Raw genomic sequence first — 17,676 nt, forward strand, 5'->3', positions numbered from 1 at the left:
AGAATTAGTCCCTACAGAAAATTAAAACAGTGTAGTATTCCACTCTTTGAATGTACCAGTCCCCTATTTTTGGAAGTTTTGTTTTTTTCCAGTTTGGGGCCATTATAAGCAAGGCTGCAGTGAATAAATTTGTGTATACATTATTTTCCTTTATTCCAGTATTTCTGTAAGATACATTCTAAAAAGTGGAATTCCTGGGTCAAAGGAAATGTGAATTTGGCCAAGTCAGTTGTGAAGAAGTGCAAAGGGGGAGACTTGCCCCAGAAGACAATAAGACAAGTCACAGAAAAATAGAATAGTACCAGACAAGTAGACAAATAGACAAGTAGAACATGTTAAAGAACCCAGGAACAGGCCAGGCACGGTCTCTCACGCCTGTAATCCCAGCACTTTGGGAGGCCAAGGCAGGTGGATCACCTGAGGTCAGGAGTTCGAGACCAGCCTGGCCAACATGGTGAAACCTCGTCTCTATTAAAAATACAAAAATTAGCCAGACGTGGGGGCGGGTGCCTATAATCCCAGCTACTCGGGAGGCTGAGGCAGGAGAATCGCTTGAACCTGGAGGGTGGAGGTTGCAGTGAGCAGAGATCATGCTACATCATTCCAGCCTGGGTGGAAGAGCAAAACTCTGTCTGAAAAACAAAACAAAACAAAACGAAACAGAACCCAGGAACACCCAGGCGCAGTGGCTCATGTCTGTAATCCCAGTACTTTGGGAGGCTGAGGCAGGAGGATTGCTTGAGCCCAGGAGTTCAAGACCAGCCTGGGTAACATCGCAAGACCCTGTCTCTATAAAAAATAAAAAATTACCCAGGCATGGTGGCACATGCCTGTGGTCCCAGCTTCTCAGGAGGCTGAGACGGGAGGATTGCTTGAGCCCGCTGGTCGGGTGGGAGTCTAGGGCTCCAGTGAGCCATGATCACACCACTTCACTCCAGCCTGGGTGACAGTGAGATCCTATCTTAAAAACAAAAAAACAAAAAACAAAGAACTCAGAAACAAATCCATATGCATCTGAAAACTGTTATGTGATAAAGGTTGCATCAGAAATTAGTGAAGGCTGGGCGTTGTGGCTCACGCCTGTAATCCCAGCACTTTGGGAGGCTAAGGCAGGCAGATCACCTGAGGTCAGGAGTTTGAGATCAGCCTGGTCAACATGGTGAAACCCTGTCTCTACTGCAAATACAAAAATTAGCCAGGCGTGGTGGCGCACACCTGTAATCCTAGCTACTCAGGAGGCTGAGGCACAAGAATTGCTTGAACCTGGGAGGCAGAGGTTGCGGTGAGCTGAGATCACACCACTGTACTCCAGCCTGGGCTATGGAGTGAGACCCTGTCTCAAAAAAAAAAAGAAAAAAAGTGAAGATGATGGCTAAAAAATACAGGGTTTTGTGAGGGGGTGATGAAAATGTTCTAAAATGGACTGTGATCATGGTTTTACAGTTCTGTGAATATACTGAAAGTCATTGAATTATGTGCTTTAAATGGATGAATTGTATGGTATGTAAATTATATCTTAATAAAGCTGTTAAAATATGGGGAAGAAAGGCCAGATTTTTTAGATAGTGTTGGAAATACTGGAACACTGTTCAGATAGAAAATGCAGTTGGGACTCTCCCTTACATCGTCTACAAAGATGGACTCCACATGGATTAAGGACCAAAGTGTAAAAGGCCACACTATAAGGCTAGTAAAAGAAAGTGTAAGAGAACATCCTTGTGACCCAAGGTTGGGGAAAGACTTAAAGAAGACCCTTGGCCGGGCGCCGGTGGCTCACGCCTGTAATCCTAGCACTTTTGGAGGCCGAGGCGGGTGGATCACGAGGTCAGGAGATGGAGACCATCCTGGCTAACATGGTGAAACCTCATCTCTACTAAAAATACAAACAATTAGCCAAGCGTGGTGGCGGGTGCCTGTAGTCCCAGCTACTCGGGAGGCTGAGGCAGGAGAATCGCATGAACCGGGAGGCAGAGGTCGCAGTGAGCCGAGATCACGCCACTGCACTCCAGCTGGGCAACACAGCAGGACTCTGTCTCAAAAAAAAAGAAGACCCTTGAAGTGCAAACTGTAAAAAAAAATATGAACATGACTATATCAGTTCACTCTTCAATTATACACTATATATATTTAACATTGAAAAATTAATAAAACTCATAGATAGATGGTAGACTGGAAGGAGATATTTACAGTCCTTAAAACTGTTGAGGCGTTAATATCTACAATATATAAAAAACTCTTGCAAATCAGTAAGACCCAAGAGAAAAACAGGCGAGAGACATGCAGAGTTAATTTACAAAAGAGGAAGCCCAAATGGCTAACGAGTATAGAATGGAATGCTCAAACTCACTAGTAATCAGAGAAATGTACATGTAAGTGACATACCAACTAACATCCATCAAAATGGCAAAATGAGAAAAGTGGATAATGCTAAGAGTTGTCAAGGGTGTGGGGGAATAAGAACTCTTGTGCAGTTCTTGTAGAAGTATAAACTGGCATAGACTTTTTAGCATTACTTAGTAAAAATGGGTATTCCTATGCCATTTGGCCTCATGATACCATTCCTGGGTATACAGTTGACCCTTGAACAACACAAGTTTGTGCTACATGCATTCACTTACATGCAGATTTCCATCCTCCTTTGCCACTACTGAGACAGCAAGACTAACCCCTTCTCTTCCTCCTCCTTCTCAGCTTACTCAACATGAAGACAAGGATGAAGACTTTATGATAATCCACTTCCACTTAATGGATAGTAAATATATTTCCTCTTCTGGCCAGGCACGGTGGCTCACGACTGTAATCCCAGCACTTTGGGAGGTCGAGGCTGGTGGATTGCCTGAGGTCAGGAGTTCGAGACCAGTCTGGCCAACATGGTGAAAACCCGTCTCTACTAAAAATACAAAAAAAATTAACCAGGCGTGGTGGTGTGCACCTGTAATCCTGGCTACTCGGGAAGCTGAGGCAGGGGAATTTTTTGAACCAGGGAGGCGGAGCTTGCAGTGAGCCGAGATCGCACCACTGAACTCCAGCCTGGGTGACAGAGCGAGATTCCATCTCAAATATATATATATATATATATATATATATATACGTATATATATATATATATATACGTATATATATATATATATACACGTATATATATATATATACGTATATATACACACACACACACACACACACACACACACATATATATTCTCTTCCTTATGATTTTCTTAACATTTTCTTTTCTCTAGCTTACTTTATTTTAAGAATATAGTACATAATGCATATAACATATGTATGTGTTAATTGACTGTTCATTATCAGTAAGGCTTCCAGTCAACAATAGACTATTATTAAATTGTGGGGGAGTCAAAAGTCATACACAGATTTTTGATTGCATGGGAGATCAGCACCCCAAACCTCACCTTGTTCAAGGGTCAACCATGTATCTCCTAGAAATTCTCATACAAGTCCACAAGTGGAGACATGATGAAGTTCAACACACTGTTGCTTGTGGTAGCAGGGAACTGGAACCAACCTTGGTGTCCATCCCTAGGGCAACAGATAAGAAAATGTTCGGAATACGATGTCATCCATTGGAAGCAATTAACCACACATATATGCAGCAACATAGATAGACCTTAAAAATATGGGATTGGCAAATAAAGAGAATGAGGGTTATAACACAATGCCTTTTATATAAGTTTAGGATGCATACATATTCAAAACAACATTATATGCTTAGCAAGGATATGCATACGTTTTAGGACATGGAGCAAGCTCACTAGAGTGCCTGGGGGTGAGGAGAGCAAGATAGATGGAGATGGAAAGGGGGATTGGAGAAGGAGCTGGAAAATAAGATCTAAGAGAGGCCTCGTTACCTTGCACAGAATAAGGATGATAACATGTTACCCCGTGATTAACCTGAAGACCATAGAGGGAAAAGAAAAAAATTAACAACTGCAGAGCCTCAGATCCTGGGCATGAAACATAACAGAACCTCCAGGGACTCAGTTTCCTCCTATTCAGAATGGGGATAATATGTAAGGTGGTTGTGAGGACTGGGATCATGTTGGGCAAGAGGCCTGGCCAGAATTGTTGTTCAATAATAAAAATAATGCTAATGATAGTATGCTATCCTTGCCGATAGTGTTTGCAGGTTCAGTTCTGCAGAGTTGCAGACCAGCTTGGTGTCAACACCTCTTGCTTTGCTCCCCAGCTCCTGGCTCTCTTATCTCTCTGGCCTCCTCATCTGGGCTGCAGCTAAATAGGAGAGATTTGCAAGGCAAGGTGAAAAGGTGAAAACCTGTGATTATATATATGTATACTTCTATGTTTATATTTATTTATTTCAATTAGAAAAAGCCTCTTCATCCTGTATTCACTGGCTGCTCCCTTTGGATCAATACTTTAGTTAGGTCTTTAGAGAAATGAAATTTATATTCATGCCCCGCTGTTCCCTTAGTAACAATCTCCGGCAATCAGATCTGCTCTCTGGTGGAAATGGCCTTTGGAAAGCGCTTGTGCAGTGTGCAGTTGCACAATCTTACCTTTGCCAGAAACTGTTTTCTGATGTAGCCAGTATCTTTTCCAGAAAAAAAAAATTAACTACATTTAAGCAGACTTAACAAGGTCTTAAAATAGATATAAAGTGGTTTCACCCCACAAGGGGAATTCTTAAAATACTAAAGTACTGTTTTTAAGCATAGTCAAGTACTTCAGAAACACTCATTTACATTGCAAACAATTTCTATGCTAATTACAAATGATTCTTTCCCAACCACTAGGTAATATTTTGTGTTACTGTATGTACCTGAAACGAATAAAATTACTTCTCTTTCTTCTTCTTTTATTTTTTTTGATCAATATTCATTATTCAAACTGGTCTTTCCACCATTCTTCCAGATTTGCACTTTTATTGTGTTTCAGGTGTGAATTTGAGAATCTAATCCCCATAGTGTTGAGGTAAGACCACAAAAACAGATTTATCACAATCACTCCTCTAATAAGAGACTTATTGGAGGATCTAAGAGTCACAACCCTCTTTGTGGCTCTCAGATCCTCCAATAAGTCTCTTTCAAACATTTTATACTTCTCCAACAACTGAATCTCCCCACGCTGACTTTGATTCTTCATAAATAAAATGGAAGCCCTAGGCTGGGCGCGGTAGCTCACACCTGTAATCCCAGCACTTTGGGAGGCCGAGGCAGGTGGGTCATCTGAGGCCAGGAGTTCGAGACCAGCCTGGACAACACTGTGAAACCCTGTCTCTACTAAAAATACAAAAATTAGCCAGGCGTGGTGGTGGGTGCCTGTAATCCTAGCTACTCGGGAGGCTGAGGCATGAGAATCACTTGAACCCGGGAGGTGGAGGCTGCAGTGAGCCAAGATTGCACCATTGCACTCCAGCCTGCGTGACAGAGCAAGACTCCATCAGAAAAGAAAAGAAAAAAGAAAAGAAAAGAGAAGCCCTAAGATGCCCTCAATGGCAGACAACAAACCTATGAACTCACCTGCGTCTCTATTGCTTCCTCCTTCTACCTTTCCAGCCCCCCATTCAGGTTCTTCACTCTTTTTCTTTTCTTTTCTTTTCTTTTCTTTTTTTTTTTTTTTTTTTGAGATGGAGTTTTGCTCTTGTTGCCCAGGCTGGAGTGCAATGGCGCGATCTCAGCTCACTGCAACCTCCACCTCCTGGGTTCAAGCGATTCTCCTGCCTCAGCCTCCCAAGTAGCTGGGATTACAGGCATGTGCCACCACACCCAGCTAATTTTGTATTTTTAGTAGAGCTGGGGTTTCTCCATGTTGGTCAGGCTGGTCTCAAACTCCCGACCTCAGGTGATCCGCCTGCCTTGGCCTCCCAAAGTGCTGGGATTACAGGTGTGAGCCACCACGCCCGGCCTCAGGTTCTTCACTCTTAATAACCTTTCACTCTTCTGAATGAATTCTCAACTTACTCTTCTCCATCAGGTCCTTCCCACAAGGCATCAACTGGCTGCCAAGAGAAACCCTCAAGCCCACACCCCTCCAGCCACTCTGGACTCCCTCCTCCTCCCCTTCTTGCTCACATTTATTGGAAAAGCCAGCTTCTCACCTCCCACTCACTCCTCAGCCCACGCCCCCTGATTTTGCCATGGAAACTGATCATTTGGAGGTCACCACTGGTCTTGTTGCTAAATCCAGCGGACCCTCCCAGTCATTCCTTATTCCAGTGACCACTCTGCCTCTTGGCTTTCCTACCCTACTCAGCTCATCTCCCTCCTACCTCTCTGCAGGGTTCCTCAGATTTCTTTGTAGGTTTCTCTTTGCTTCTCCTTTAAATGCTGATGTTCCTAGCGCCCAGTTCCTCTGCTCCCTCTCCAGACATCTCCTGGGTGAGCACATCATGCCTTGCCTTTAGTGCTCATTGGTTACTTTGAGATCCGTGTCTCCAGCTCATGCCTCCCTCCTGAGCTCCAGACCTCAAGGCCCAGCTCCTTCTGGATGGCTCCTTGGATGGCTCCCAGGACTCTCAAACTCATCATGTCTGAAACAGAACTCCCCAAACCTGCTCTGTCCTCAATATTCCAAGACTGGTATAACTAGCCAATAAACACATGAGATTTGTTAGGACTTCCTTCTCTCTTATCACCAAAGGCCCTAGCCCCAATCAATCAATGAACACAAAGTCTTGTCCATCCTATCTTCTGTTATATCTTAACTCTGTCCACCTTTCTTCGTCCCTACGCTGGTCCTAGCTACCATCATTCTCACCTAGGGTGGTGGGACCTCCTCCTGGTTTCCTGCATCCTGACCCCTCCAGTCCGTCTTTCACACTGTAGCTGGAGAAGTTCCTCTAAAATACACATTGTTGGCCAGGCGTGGTGGCTCATGCCTGTAATCCCAGCATTTTGGGAGCCTGAGGCAGGTGGATTGCCTGAGCTCAGGAATTTGAGACCAGCCTGAGCAACATGGTGAAACCCTGTCTCTACTAAAATACAAAAAATTAGATGGACGTGGTGGCACACGCCTGCAGTCCCAGCTACTCAGGAGGCTGAGGCACGAGAATTGCTTGAACCAGGGAGGCAGAGGTTGCAGTGAGCCAAGATCATGCCACTGCACTCCAGCCTGGACAACAGAGTGAGACTTTGTCTCCAAAATAAATAAAATAAAATAAAGTAAAATGCAAATTGTTATTCCATAATGCTATCTGCTGAGTGTCACTGCCTTCAGGTTAAAGTGCAAACTCCTTATTAATAGGCCCTTATTGCTTGATCTGACCTGGCCTACAGCTCTGGCCACATCTCCCTCCATAGTCCTCCTCTCTCTTCATGTCCCTTTCAGCTCCTTAGACCCACAGTTCCTTTTTGCCACCAGGCCTCTACACATACTATCCCCTCTTGGACACTCTTAGCCTGGCCAACTTGCATTTACCAGCACATGTGTGGGTGGTGTGATGGAGTGGACTTTGGAGAGAGGCAGGCATAGGTTTGAATTCCAGCTCTGTTCTTTTCAAGCTGTAAAAACTTAAGGATGTCAACCAACCTCTCTGAGCCTCAGAGTCCTCATCTGCAGAGAGAGGCATCATAATATTCACCATGTCTCCATATGTTGATTTCTCTTTTCAATCACTTGACCCATCTCCACCCACCCACTCTCACCCGCTTTTTCTGAGAACTGACCCTTCTTCCCTATGCACACAGAGACGATGGTGGTTCCTGGCCACCATGTTAGTCCAACACGATGCAGCCCACTCCCCACAGATTACTGGGCCAGAGGTCGGGACCATCAGCTGCTACATCACCAGTTAGGAATTGGAACCCAGAGAGAGTCACACTGGACTCTTTTCCCATACAGCTATACTGACTGTAGACCCAATGGCTATATATCAGTAGCCATATGTTCCTGTGTGGCTGGGAAGCAGAAAAAGCTGGTCTGCATAAGAGTAGATGGAAGCCAATGCACAAAGGAAGCACAGGCCCAGAGAGGAAGAGACAGTGGAAACAGAGAAAGGGTCTTGCACATTTAATGTCCTGGTTTCAGTGACTGACTGAGGCCAGCTGCACTGAGCTTGTGAGAAACCCGCACCCTTAAACCAAAAAAAAAAAAAAAAAAAAAAAATCTCCTTAAGGCCAGGCGTGGTGGCTCACTCCTGTAATCCCAGCATTTTGGTAGTTCAGAGGCTGGCCAATCGCTTGAGCCCAGCAGTTCAAGACCAGCCTGGGCAACATGGGAAACCCCATCTCTACAAAAATTACAAACAAGTAGCTGGGTGTGGTGGCTCATATCTGTAATCCCAGCACTTTGGGAGGCTGAGGCAGGTGGATCATGAGGTCAGGAGTTCAAGACCAGCCTGACCAACATGGTGAAACCTCATCTCTACTAAAAATACAAAAATTAGCCAGGTGTGGTGACGGGCACCTGCAATCCCAGCTACTCAGGAGGCTGAGGCAGGAGAGTCTCTTGAACCCGGGAGGCAGAGGTTGCAGTGAGCCCAGATGGCACCACTGCACTCCAGCCTGGGTGACAGAGTGAGACTCCATCTCAAAAAATAATAACAATAATAAAATAAAAATAAAAATAATTAGTCAGGAGGGTGTGGTGGTGCATGCCTATTGTCCCAGATACTCTGGAACCGAGGTGGGAGCCCAGGAGGCAGAGGTTGCAGCGAGCCAAGATTGCACCACTGCGCTCTGCATCCAGCATGGGCAACAGAGTGAGACCCTGTATCAAAAAAAAAAAAAAAAAAACTCCTTAAATAGCTAGCATGGATTTTCATTACATGAAACCAACAAAGTCCTAAGTAATTTACCTATTTTGTGAAACAATTATTGTGAAAACTAGAAACGAGATATGCACACATATAGTAGATATTCAATAAAAAATTATTCTTAATATATACTCAATAGATGAATGAGGCAAGGACTGAGGGAGGGATGTTGGAACTCTCTGCACCCATTTCTTTATAATCGTTTCAGAAATAGGGCCGAGTTCTTAACCCTATATCATCCCAAGAGTTTTTTTTGTTTTGTTTTGCTTGAAAAGGCAAAGTATTATATTTTGGTAACTTCGAAAAGAGAAAAAAATTACACATAATCTCACCCCATCAAATTGAAGCAGATATTTTCATTGCATACATACTTTGCATACTTATAATCATGGTGCATATTCTATTTTGTGTCTAGTATTTTTTACTTAACATTTTAATATTTCTACACAGACTTTGCAATCCTTTTAATGATTGTATAATATTTAATAGTGTATTATCTAATTTATTAAACCATCCCCTATATAGATGTGCTTTCTGATTTTTCTATCATTAATCATGCTGCAATGTACATCTCTGTGGATAGGTCTTTTTTTTTTGAGACAGAGATCCCAGGCATTTGGGGGTAATGGCAAAGATCCAAACACTTAGGTTCCAGGTCTCGGTTCCACATTTCACTGGCTAAATGACTCAGGTGGTTACTTGGGTGCCTGAGGCCTCAGTTTCCCCATCTGTTAAATGAAGCTAATTGTCTCTGCTCTGGAGATGCGCATTTGTCTTGAAGGTAAAGAGGAGCAGTAAATCAATTCTAAAGCCCTACTCTAAGCCATGATTCTGTTTAGCCCTACAAGGACAAGGAAACAATAGTGCTTAGTACCAGCTCCATTTTTGAAAAGGTGCTAGAGGAATGGTGGCAGAGAGTATTGAATCATAGGGTCTTACCCACTCAGCCGGTGCTAAGTGATTAGGGGCCCACTCAACAGCAGATGAGGCCAGGGCAGGAGTGGACCTCCAGATAAACTCCCCTTCTGGCCCCCCACCATCTGGCTCTATTCTGGAGGGCTAGAATGGTGGCTATCCCACTATTGCACTGGCTGCAATAGCAGTGGCAGGATTCTTTGGCTTTAATCCACAACCCCTTTCTCCCCCAAACCCAGGCGGCCTCTGTAGGTTCCCATGACAACAGCATGCCTGGGAAGGACCAGCTTGAGGAAAAAACAGATTTTACTGTAAGAAAAAACTGGCCAGAAGCCACAGGCCGGGCAGGCTGGGACAGGGGCTCTGCAGTGGGGCTGGGTCCTGGGACATGGACCAGAGAGAGGAGTGAGCACCAGCTCTGTGCTAGAAGCTGACACATTTTGAGCACTTACAATAGCCAGATACTATTAAATGTGCTGTGTATGTATTGACTTATTTGATCCTCATGACAATGAGGTAGGTACCATTGTTATCCATGTTTTACAGGTGAGGTGACAGAGGTATGGTGAGGTTCAAACCTGGCAGTCTGACGTCAGTGCCTGCATTATGGACCCCTTGGAAGTCATAATTCTCATCTCTACAGCCTTTATCAATTGATAAAAGACAGTTTCATTCTATCCTCACAACATTTTTCCAAGATTAAAGATTATTATTCCCATGTTACAGATGAGGATCCCAAAGGTCAGAGAGGTTAAGCAATGTGTCCCAAATCACGCAGCTAGCAAGTAATAGAGCTGGAATTTGAACTCAGATGTGTCTGAACCCAAAGCCCATGGTTGCTACTAAGATGCCAGGAAATAGATCTGAGCCTTCCTATCCTCCCATAAGCCTGGGAGAAGGGTCATGTAGCGTAGGCTAGCTTTAGAGATATGAGTGGGATACATTTCTGTGTCCTCAGTGCCGTGCCAACCCTCTCCCAACACAGACACTCACACATGCACACACACATGCACGCATGCATGGGCGTGAACACAGGCCCTGGCAGGCAGACGCTGCCCTCCTCTCAGCCAGGAATGGGCCCGCCTACTCACAACAGGCTTCTCAGGCTGGTGAGCCTGCCCACACCTGATTGCCTTACCTGGGAGAGGCTGCTGGAAGGCATGGAAGGCATATCTCCCCACCCCAACTCATTCTGTGTAACCAGGCTGGGGCTTCCCAAGGAAGGGAGAGAATTCCTGAGGTCTGTGAGACCCCTGGGATGTTTTGGGTTTTTTATTTCTAAACCAAGTGGGAGCCTAAACTTCAGAGCCGGGAGCCTAGGCTGCTTAGAGTAGAGTAGGGAAAGTTCTGTCATCCCTAAAGGACTCTTCCTATTGTTGTTCCAGTGTTTGTTTTTTTCTTTTCTTTTCTGTCTTTTTTTTTTTTTTTTTTCTGAGAGAATCCCGCTCTGTCACCCAGGCTGGAACGCAGTGGCGTGATCACAGCTCACTGCAGCCTCAAATTCCTTGGCTCAAGTGATCCTCCTTCCTCAGCCTCCCGAGTAGCTGGGACTACAGGAACACAGCACCATGCCCGGTTAATTTTTAAACGTTTTTTTGGTGGAGTCAGGGTCTCACTATGTTGCTCAGGCTCCAGTGACTTAGTATATTTCATTACCTTTCCCCTGACTTGATTATTTTCTAGATGGTGGTGGCCTTTGATTTTTTTTTTTTTTTGAGATGGAGTCTTGTTCTGTCACCCAGGCTGGAGTGCAGTGGCGCGATCTTGGCTCATTGCAACCTCTGCCTCCTGAGGTTCAAGTGATTCTCCTGCCTCAGCCTCCCAAGTAGCTGGGATTACAAGTGCCCAACACCATGCCCGGCTAATTTTTCTATTTTTAGTACCGACGGGGTTTCACCATGTTGGCCAGGCTGGTCTCGAACTCCTGACCTCAAGTGATCTGCCCGCCTCGGCCTCCCAAAATGTTGGGATTACAGGTGTGAGCCACTGCGCCCAGCCACCTTTGATTTTTAAAAGTCCCCCACTTCCTGTGGTAAGTGCAGTGGCCTTCTATGTCTTTCTATCTCATCTCTGATAGACTAGTCCATATTTTCCACTGGGAGCTTACCTCTAAAATTACATTTGCATAAAATCGGTCATTCCACAGATATTGATCATATGGCTTCCCCTCAAAGGCAGGGTGTACATGGGAAACTAAAGACACATTCAGACCCACCCCTACTGAATTAAAGGGAGGCAACAGAAGCCTCAAGTCCTGCCGGGTTCTCTTGGAGATGGTGGGCTAGATAAGGGGCAGAGACCTGTTGACCTGTCTTGCTGCAGAAAGCTCTACACATTTGGTTCCTGGAAGCAGAGCAAAGGTTCTATCCCCAACATCATCAGTCTGATCAGATTGGGGACCATCTAGTTCCCAGTGAAGCGTCCACCTAAAGTCCTTGGGCAGGACAAGGAAACTATCTTTTTTTTTTTTTTTTTTTTGAGACCGAGTTTCACTCTTGTTGCCCAGGCTGGAGTGCAATGGTGTGATCTCGGCTCACTGCAACTTCTGCCTCCCAGGTTCAAGCGATTCTCTTGCCTCAATCTCCCGAGTAGCTGGGATTACAGGCATGCGCCACTATGCCTGGCTAATTTTGTATTTATAGTAGAGACAGGGTTTCTCCATGTTGGTCAGGCTGGTCTCAAACTCCCAACCTCAGGTGATCTGCCCGCCTCAGCTTCCCAAAGTGCTGGGATTATAGGTGTGAGCCACCGCGCCCAGTGGAAACTATCTTAAGAGGCTTGGACACCCCAGCTTTCTCTAGCCTCTGCAGACCCTGCCATGCCTGCACATAAACCCCATTTCTTCTCCATGCCATACTGCAAAGAATTGGAGTAGCGCATTGAGCACACTACAGTTTCTCCCTGCTGTAGATGTTACCCTCGAAGCCCTTCTTTGGAAGACCCACACACCCATCCACAGGACAGCATGGACTCCAAAGTGAAGGTGGGTAAGAGAGAGAGAGCCTGCAGACTGAGAGAGAAGGAGAGCAAGAAAGTGAGGAGATAGGGCTGCTGGGAGAGAGAGCAGGGAGGTCAGAGTTGGGGACCATGCCCAAAACATGTCAATACCATGTCTGGTTTTTTTCCTCTGGGGAGAGAAGGCATCCCTGCTGCCTGCAGTACTGAGCACCTGTGCTCCCCACAAGCCCCCTCCAGCCTGGCCCGGGCACGCAGTGGGCATTTAGTAAGTGCACACTAGAGCTGGTGGTTATGTTGATAAGATGACGGCACAGCACTCAGTCTGCAAAGTCCAGACTTCTGTCTCTCTCACCCCCTGGGAATTTCATAAATAAATCCCTGGACCTGTTCCAAGAAGAATTTCAAGGCTTCTCTGCATGTGTATGTGTTTCCAGAAACACAACAATTTTACATGATGCCTGGTGTGCAAACTCCCAAGCAACCCATGGAGAGGAATGAGGACTTGGGCATGGCAAAGAGGAGGTGGACAGAACGGGTCAGGCTGGGCTGGCGCGGGCCAGGAAACCAGCAGTCGATGGCGGCAGTTTGAGCCCAGGCTCTGCAGCTGGCGGCTGCTAACCTGGCTCCCCAGACGCCCGGTCTGCCCCAGGCTCAGATTGCCCAGCCTCCCCTCCCCCACCCTTGGGCTTTGGCAGGATTCTCCATCAGGTTTTTGCAAAGTGCTGGGGTCTTAAAATAGCATAAAGGCCCACGCGCGCGCGCGCACACACACACACACACACACATGCATGCACACACACAAACATACACATTTAGACTATAGTGTCAATTCCCGTACCATAGAATGAGGATCAAAAAAGGAGGGAGAGTAGAGGGTGGAGCAAGGACTTCACGGCATCTTCTAGAGCTGAGCACAGTGAGAGGCCAGGCAGGAAACAGGGGTGGCACTCGGTGTGAAGAAGGGGAATGGGGAGGAGAAAACAAGATAGAGCCTGTTTTTGGGTGTGTGTGACAACGTGACAGGGCTAATAGTCATGTCTGGAGTGTGTGTTTATGTGTAGCTGGGATCATGAAAGCAAAGGCTGTGTTGGTGTGACCAGTTTGGCAAGAGGAAGCTGGATTTCCCTCCTGGACTGTGAACTCCTATGGGGCAAGAACTAAGAACTTTATCCTCATCATTCCCAGGGCCTAGCCCAGTGCCTGACACAGACACTAAATACATGTTCCAAGAATAAATAGATGATGGACGGATACATGGATTTGCTAGAACACTAAGTAGTAACCATAATGATAGTATAATTTCAAAGAGCAAAATTGGAAATGGCACCCCAAAGTTAGAAGATGTGGCCAATCCACAAGTACGTGCTGGATGCTGAGAAGGAAAGGGAAGTGACCGCCGCTGTGATAGGGTTTGGGATCTGTCTGGGGAAGACGAGACGAATACAGAGAGGTAGGGAGAAGGCTTCCCAGAGGAGTCAGGCCCTGAGCTGGTCGAATTACTTGAGCTGGTGTTCTAGCCAGGGCTCACAGGCTATAAGGACAAACACACTCAAACCAGTGGAACTGAAAAGAGGATTTCCTAGGAAGATAGATGGGAATCTCAGAGAACCCAGCAGTGGAAAATACAGTCAGATCCCATGGGATCTGAGAAGACGCTGGGCTGATTATATGTTGGGGATTCTGTTAGAGTGGGCGAGGCCAGAGGGTGTGTGTGCATGGACACATTCCCAGCACACCTGGGGTGAACACCAGGGGTCTCTGGTCTCTCCTTTCCCTGGGCCTCTGCTCCACTCTCCTCTCCTGGCTCACCCTGGCCCAGGGTAGCTTCCAGCTAGTCTCCATTGCTCGCTACCACCTAAGTAACTCGGTTTTTGTAACTTCTTAGTTCAAATGCTCATGAGAAAGGACTTGCATGGCTCAGCCAGTTTATTTCTTGCTTTCCCTTGGTTCAATGCCCAGCCCTGGTGCGATCATCTGTGGCCAGAGGGCAGACCATGCAAACTCCCCTAGGAGAAGTGGGTGTAGCAGGTGACAGCGGCAGACTCTGGAGATCCAGACAGGAGGAAAACTACATGAGGCACTTGGTTGTGTGGTGTGTGTGTGTGTGAGAAGGGGGTGGATGGGGGAAGCCAGGACAAAAGAGGAGCTGTCAGGACGGGGGTGAGCCAGGTGACCTTGGGCAAATTACTTAATCCCTCTATGCCTCAGTTCCTTGTCTCTACTATGGAGTGAATAATACTACTCTCATGCGGTTGCTGTGAAGATCGAGTAAATAATCTGTGCCAAGTTCTTAGGAGTCAATGTTCTCTACAGCCTTTAGCAATTGATAAACGACAGTTTCATTCTATCCTCACAACATTTTTCCGAAATTAAAGATTATCATTCCCATGTTACAGATGAGGAACCCAAAGGTCAGAGAGGTTAAGCATGTACATGCAGTCTCTGCATGTATTGTGATGTGCAGGAGAGTTAGGATGGATAGTAAGTTCTCATCACGTAGAGGCCTCACTACCAGTTTTGGCTCTGTCCTGGGCAAGTCACACATCTTCTCTGAGCCTGGGATTCCTCACCTGTGAAACAAGGGAGTCCAACTGAATCATTTCTTAAATCCCCTCTTAGTTTAGAAAGCCAAGCTTTTGGCTTGGCCATAGGGAGCCTGTGGATTCTGAAGAAGGCAGATGACAGACAAAATGAAGGAGGCTTTCTTAGAATACAGTTATGTTGCAGGGTGCCTTGCGGACTGGAAGGAGGGTGACCAGGAGGCAGGGAGGTTACACCACCAGTAGTCCCAGAGATGTGTTGTGTAAGGTTCTGGACTGTAGCATCGCAGGAGGGGACCAGCCAGATAGGCAAAAGCTGTGAGGTCCACAACAAAAGGAAAATGACCAGGAGAGCAATCCCATTTGGCCACTGGCCTTCCCAGATAGATAGAAACTGATATATTAATCATCAAGGCTGAGGGCACAGGGCCTATTTCCAAGGAGGCACTGGGGAATGGATGGGGTAGGGGGAGGATGAGGTCAATGTGTAGATTAAAAGAACCAAAGAAGGCTTGCTTCTAAAAATCATGTAATTGCCTCTGGAGTAGAAAGTGAGCAAGAAAAGCCTGGGAGGGTTTTCTCCAAGTACACCACAGCTCCGCACCACCCCACGGACTGCTAAACACAGACTACAGGCTGCTGACCACAGCAAGACCCTAACGCTGACTCTGGCCTTTGGGCTTCTTGGGCCCAGAGCAATCCCTCTAATTAGCCCCCATCCTTAGTCACCAGGCATATCCCATCCAAGTTCTCTTCATTGCCTAACCTCCCCTCCCTCTGCTTCCCTCACCATCCTGGCTCATTTGTCCCTTCACCAGGGCCCCACCCCTACACCTTCAACCTCCAAACGGCCCCTCTTCTGCTCCCAGCCTGGACTGCTGAGCATTTCCTGAGGAAATGGTATTATAAAAGAGGCTTGTTATGACCTCAAATTTATGTTCTGTAATCCTGCCTGGGCCCCAGTGCCACTCTGACAATCCCTTTCTGCTTTTCTATGTCCCTGGACACCACTCCCATTCTCCACAGTGGCTTTTTACAAATCCTTACCACCTTCCTCAAGCACATCTACCATCATATGCCACCATGCCCCCTGAGCATACTGTACCGAAACAGAGGGCCTGACTGAGAACATCAGGATGACCCTTCATGCCTATAAACTTTCTCTTGGTTTACCTCGTTTCTCCAGCTCTAGCAAGGTAATTTCCTCCATGCCAAGGCTAATCACTGTACCTCTGGATCTTTATCCTGTGCTTCTCATCTACCCTGGGTTCTGGTTCCATTACTTACTACTTCTTCCTGTATCTATGAACTCTTCTTGGCTCTTTTATTGCAGTCTAAGCTGCAGTCTTTCTCCTCTTATTAAAGCAACAAAAGGGAGTAAACACTCCCTTCACCTTGTGTATCCTTCTGCAATCCCCTTTTCTTTTTCTCTTGTCCAGTCTGGAAATCTTTATTTTTAAATTGGATTATTTAGTCCATTTACATTTATTGTAATCACAGATATATTTGGATTTATTTTCACCATCTTATTTTCTTCTTTCTATTTATCCCACTTTACCAGAGATTCAGTATCACTTGTCTTGGGACCAGAGTGTTTTGGATTTCAGAGTTTTTAGGATTTTGAAATATTTGCATGGTACTCACGTGTTGAGCATTCCTAATCCAAAAATAAAAAATCTGAAATGCTGCAATGAGCATTTCCTTTGAGCATTATGTCAGTGCTCAGAAGGTTTCAGATTTTGGAGCATTTTGGATTGTGGATTTTTGGATTAGGAATGCTCAACCTATATTGTCCTTTTTATTTCCTTTCTCAATTCCTTTTGGATTATTTTGTATAATTCTATTTCTTCATCCTCTTAACCTCTAAGTTATACACTCTGTTCCTCTCCTATTAGTGAATACTTAACTGTTAGTAAAGTATGCACGAATTCATACGTAACATATATTTTTTATTTAGCCCTTGATCTTTAAAGCCATTTCTGTGAGTATACAATTTTAAGTTGACTGTTATTTTTCTCTTGGGCTTATTTTGGATTTTTGTCTATGCAGATTATATTTCTTAAAATTTGGTCTGTGAGAATTCCCTGTAGCCTGAGTTCAATTTGGGTTCCTCTACAGATGATTTGCTCTTCCTTCTTCCACGTACTACCAGGAAGTACTATGGGCCTCAGACCACTTGAATCTAAATAGCGTGTAGTTTTTCAGACTGCCTAGATAGGGTGAATTTTGAATAAAATCACATCATGGAGGCCAGCTTGCCGTTATGAATTCTCAGGGGATATTTTCTCCCATTCTCACTCAGAGCCAAGGTTTTTTTGTTTTTTGTTTTTTGTTTTTTTTTTCTTTTGAGACAGAATCTTACTCTGTCACCCAGGCTGGAGTGCAATGGTGCGATCTCAAGAGCCAAGGTTTAAGTCAGGCAGTTTTCCTTGTAGTCTCCTGGAGGAGTGAATTATTTCTTTTTAATTTTTCTTTTCTTTTTTTTTCGAGGCAGAGTTTTGCTCTTGTTGCCCAGGCTGGAGTGCAATG

The 17,676-nt window shown here is 45.5% G+C and overlaps 2 annotated features.

The window, feature by feature from the left end:
- Positions 12,598 to 13,172: an enhancer, noted in NCBI's record as "H3K4me1 hESC enhancer chr12:52334596-52335170 (GRCh37/hg19 assembly coordinates)". NCBI's record gives its function as "activates a minimal SCP1, AML or CMV promoter by ChIP-STARR-seq in naive H9 embryonic stem cells {active_cell/tissue: H9 hESC(naive)}" and the evidence as "EXISTENCE:reporter gene assay evidence [ECO:0000049][PMID:30033119]".
- Positions 13,173 to 13,747: an enhancer, noted in NCBI's record as "H3K4me1 hESC enhancer chr12:52335171-52335745 (GRCh37/hg19 assembly coordinates)". NCBI's record gives its function as "activates a minimal SCP1, AML or CMV promoter by ChIP-STARR-seq in naive H9 embryonic stem cells {active_cell/tissue: H9 hESC(naive)}" and the evidence as "EXISTENCE:reporter gene assay evidence [ECO:0000049][PMID:30033119]".

This window comes from Homo sapiens, chromosome 12, assembly GCF_000001405.40.
Source record: "Homo sapiens chromosome 12, GRCh38.p14 Primary Assembly".
NCBI lineage: Eukaryota > Metazoa > Chordata > Mammalia > Primates > Hominidae > Homo > Homo sapiens.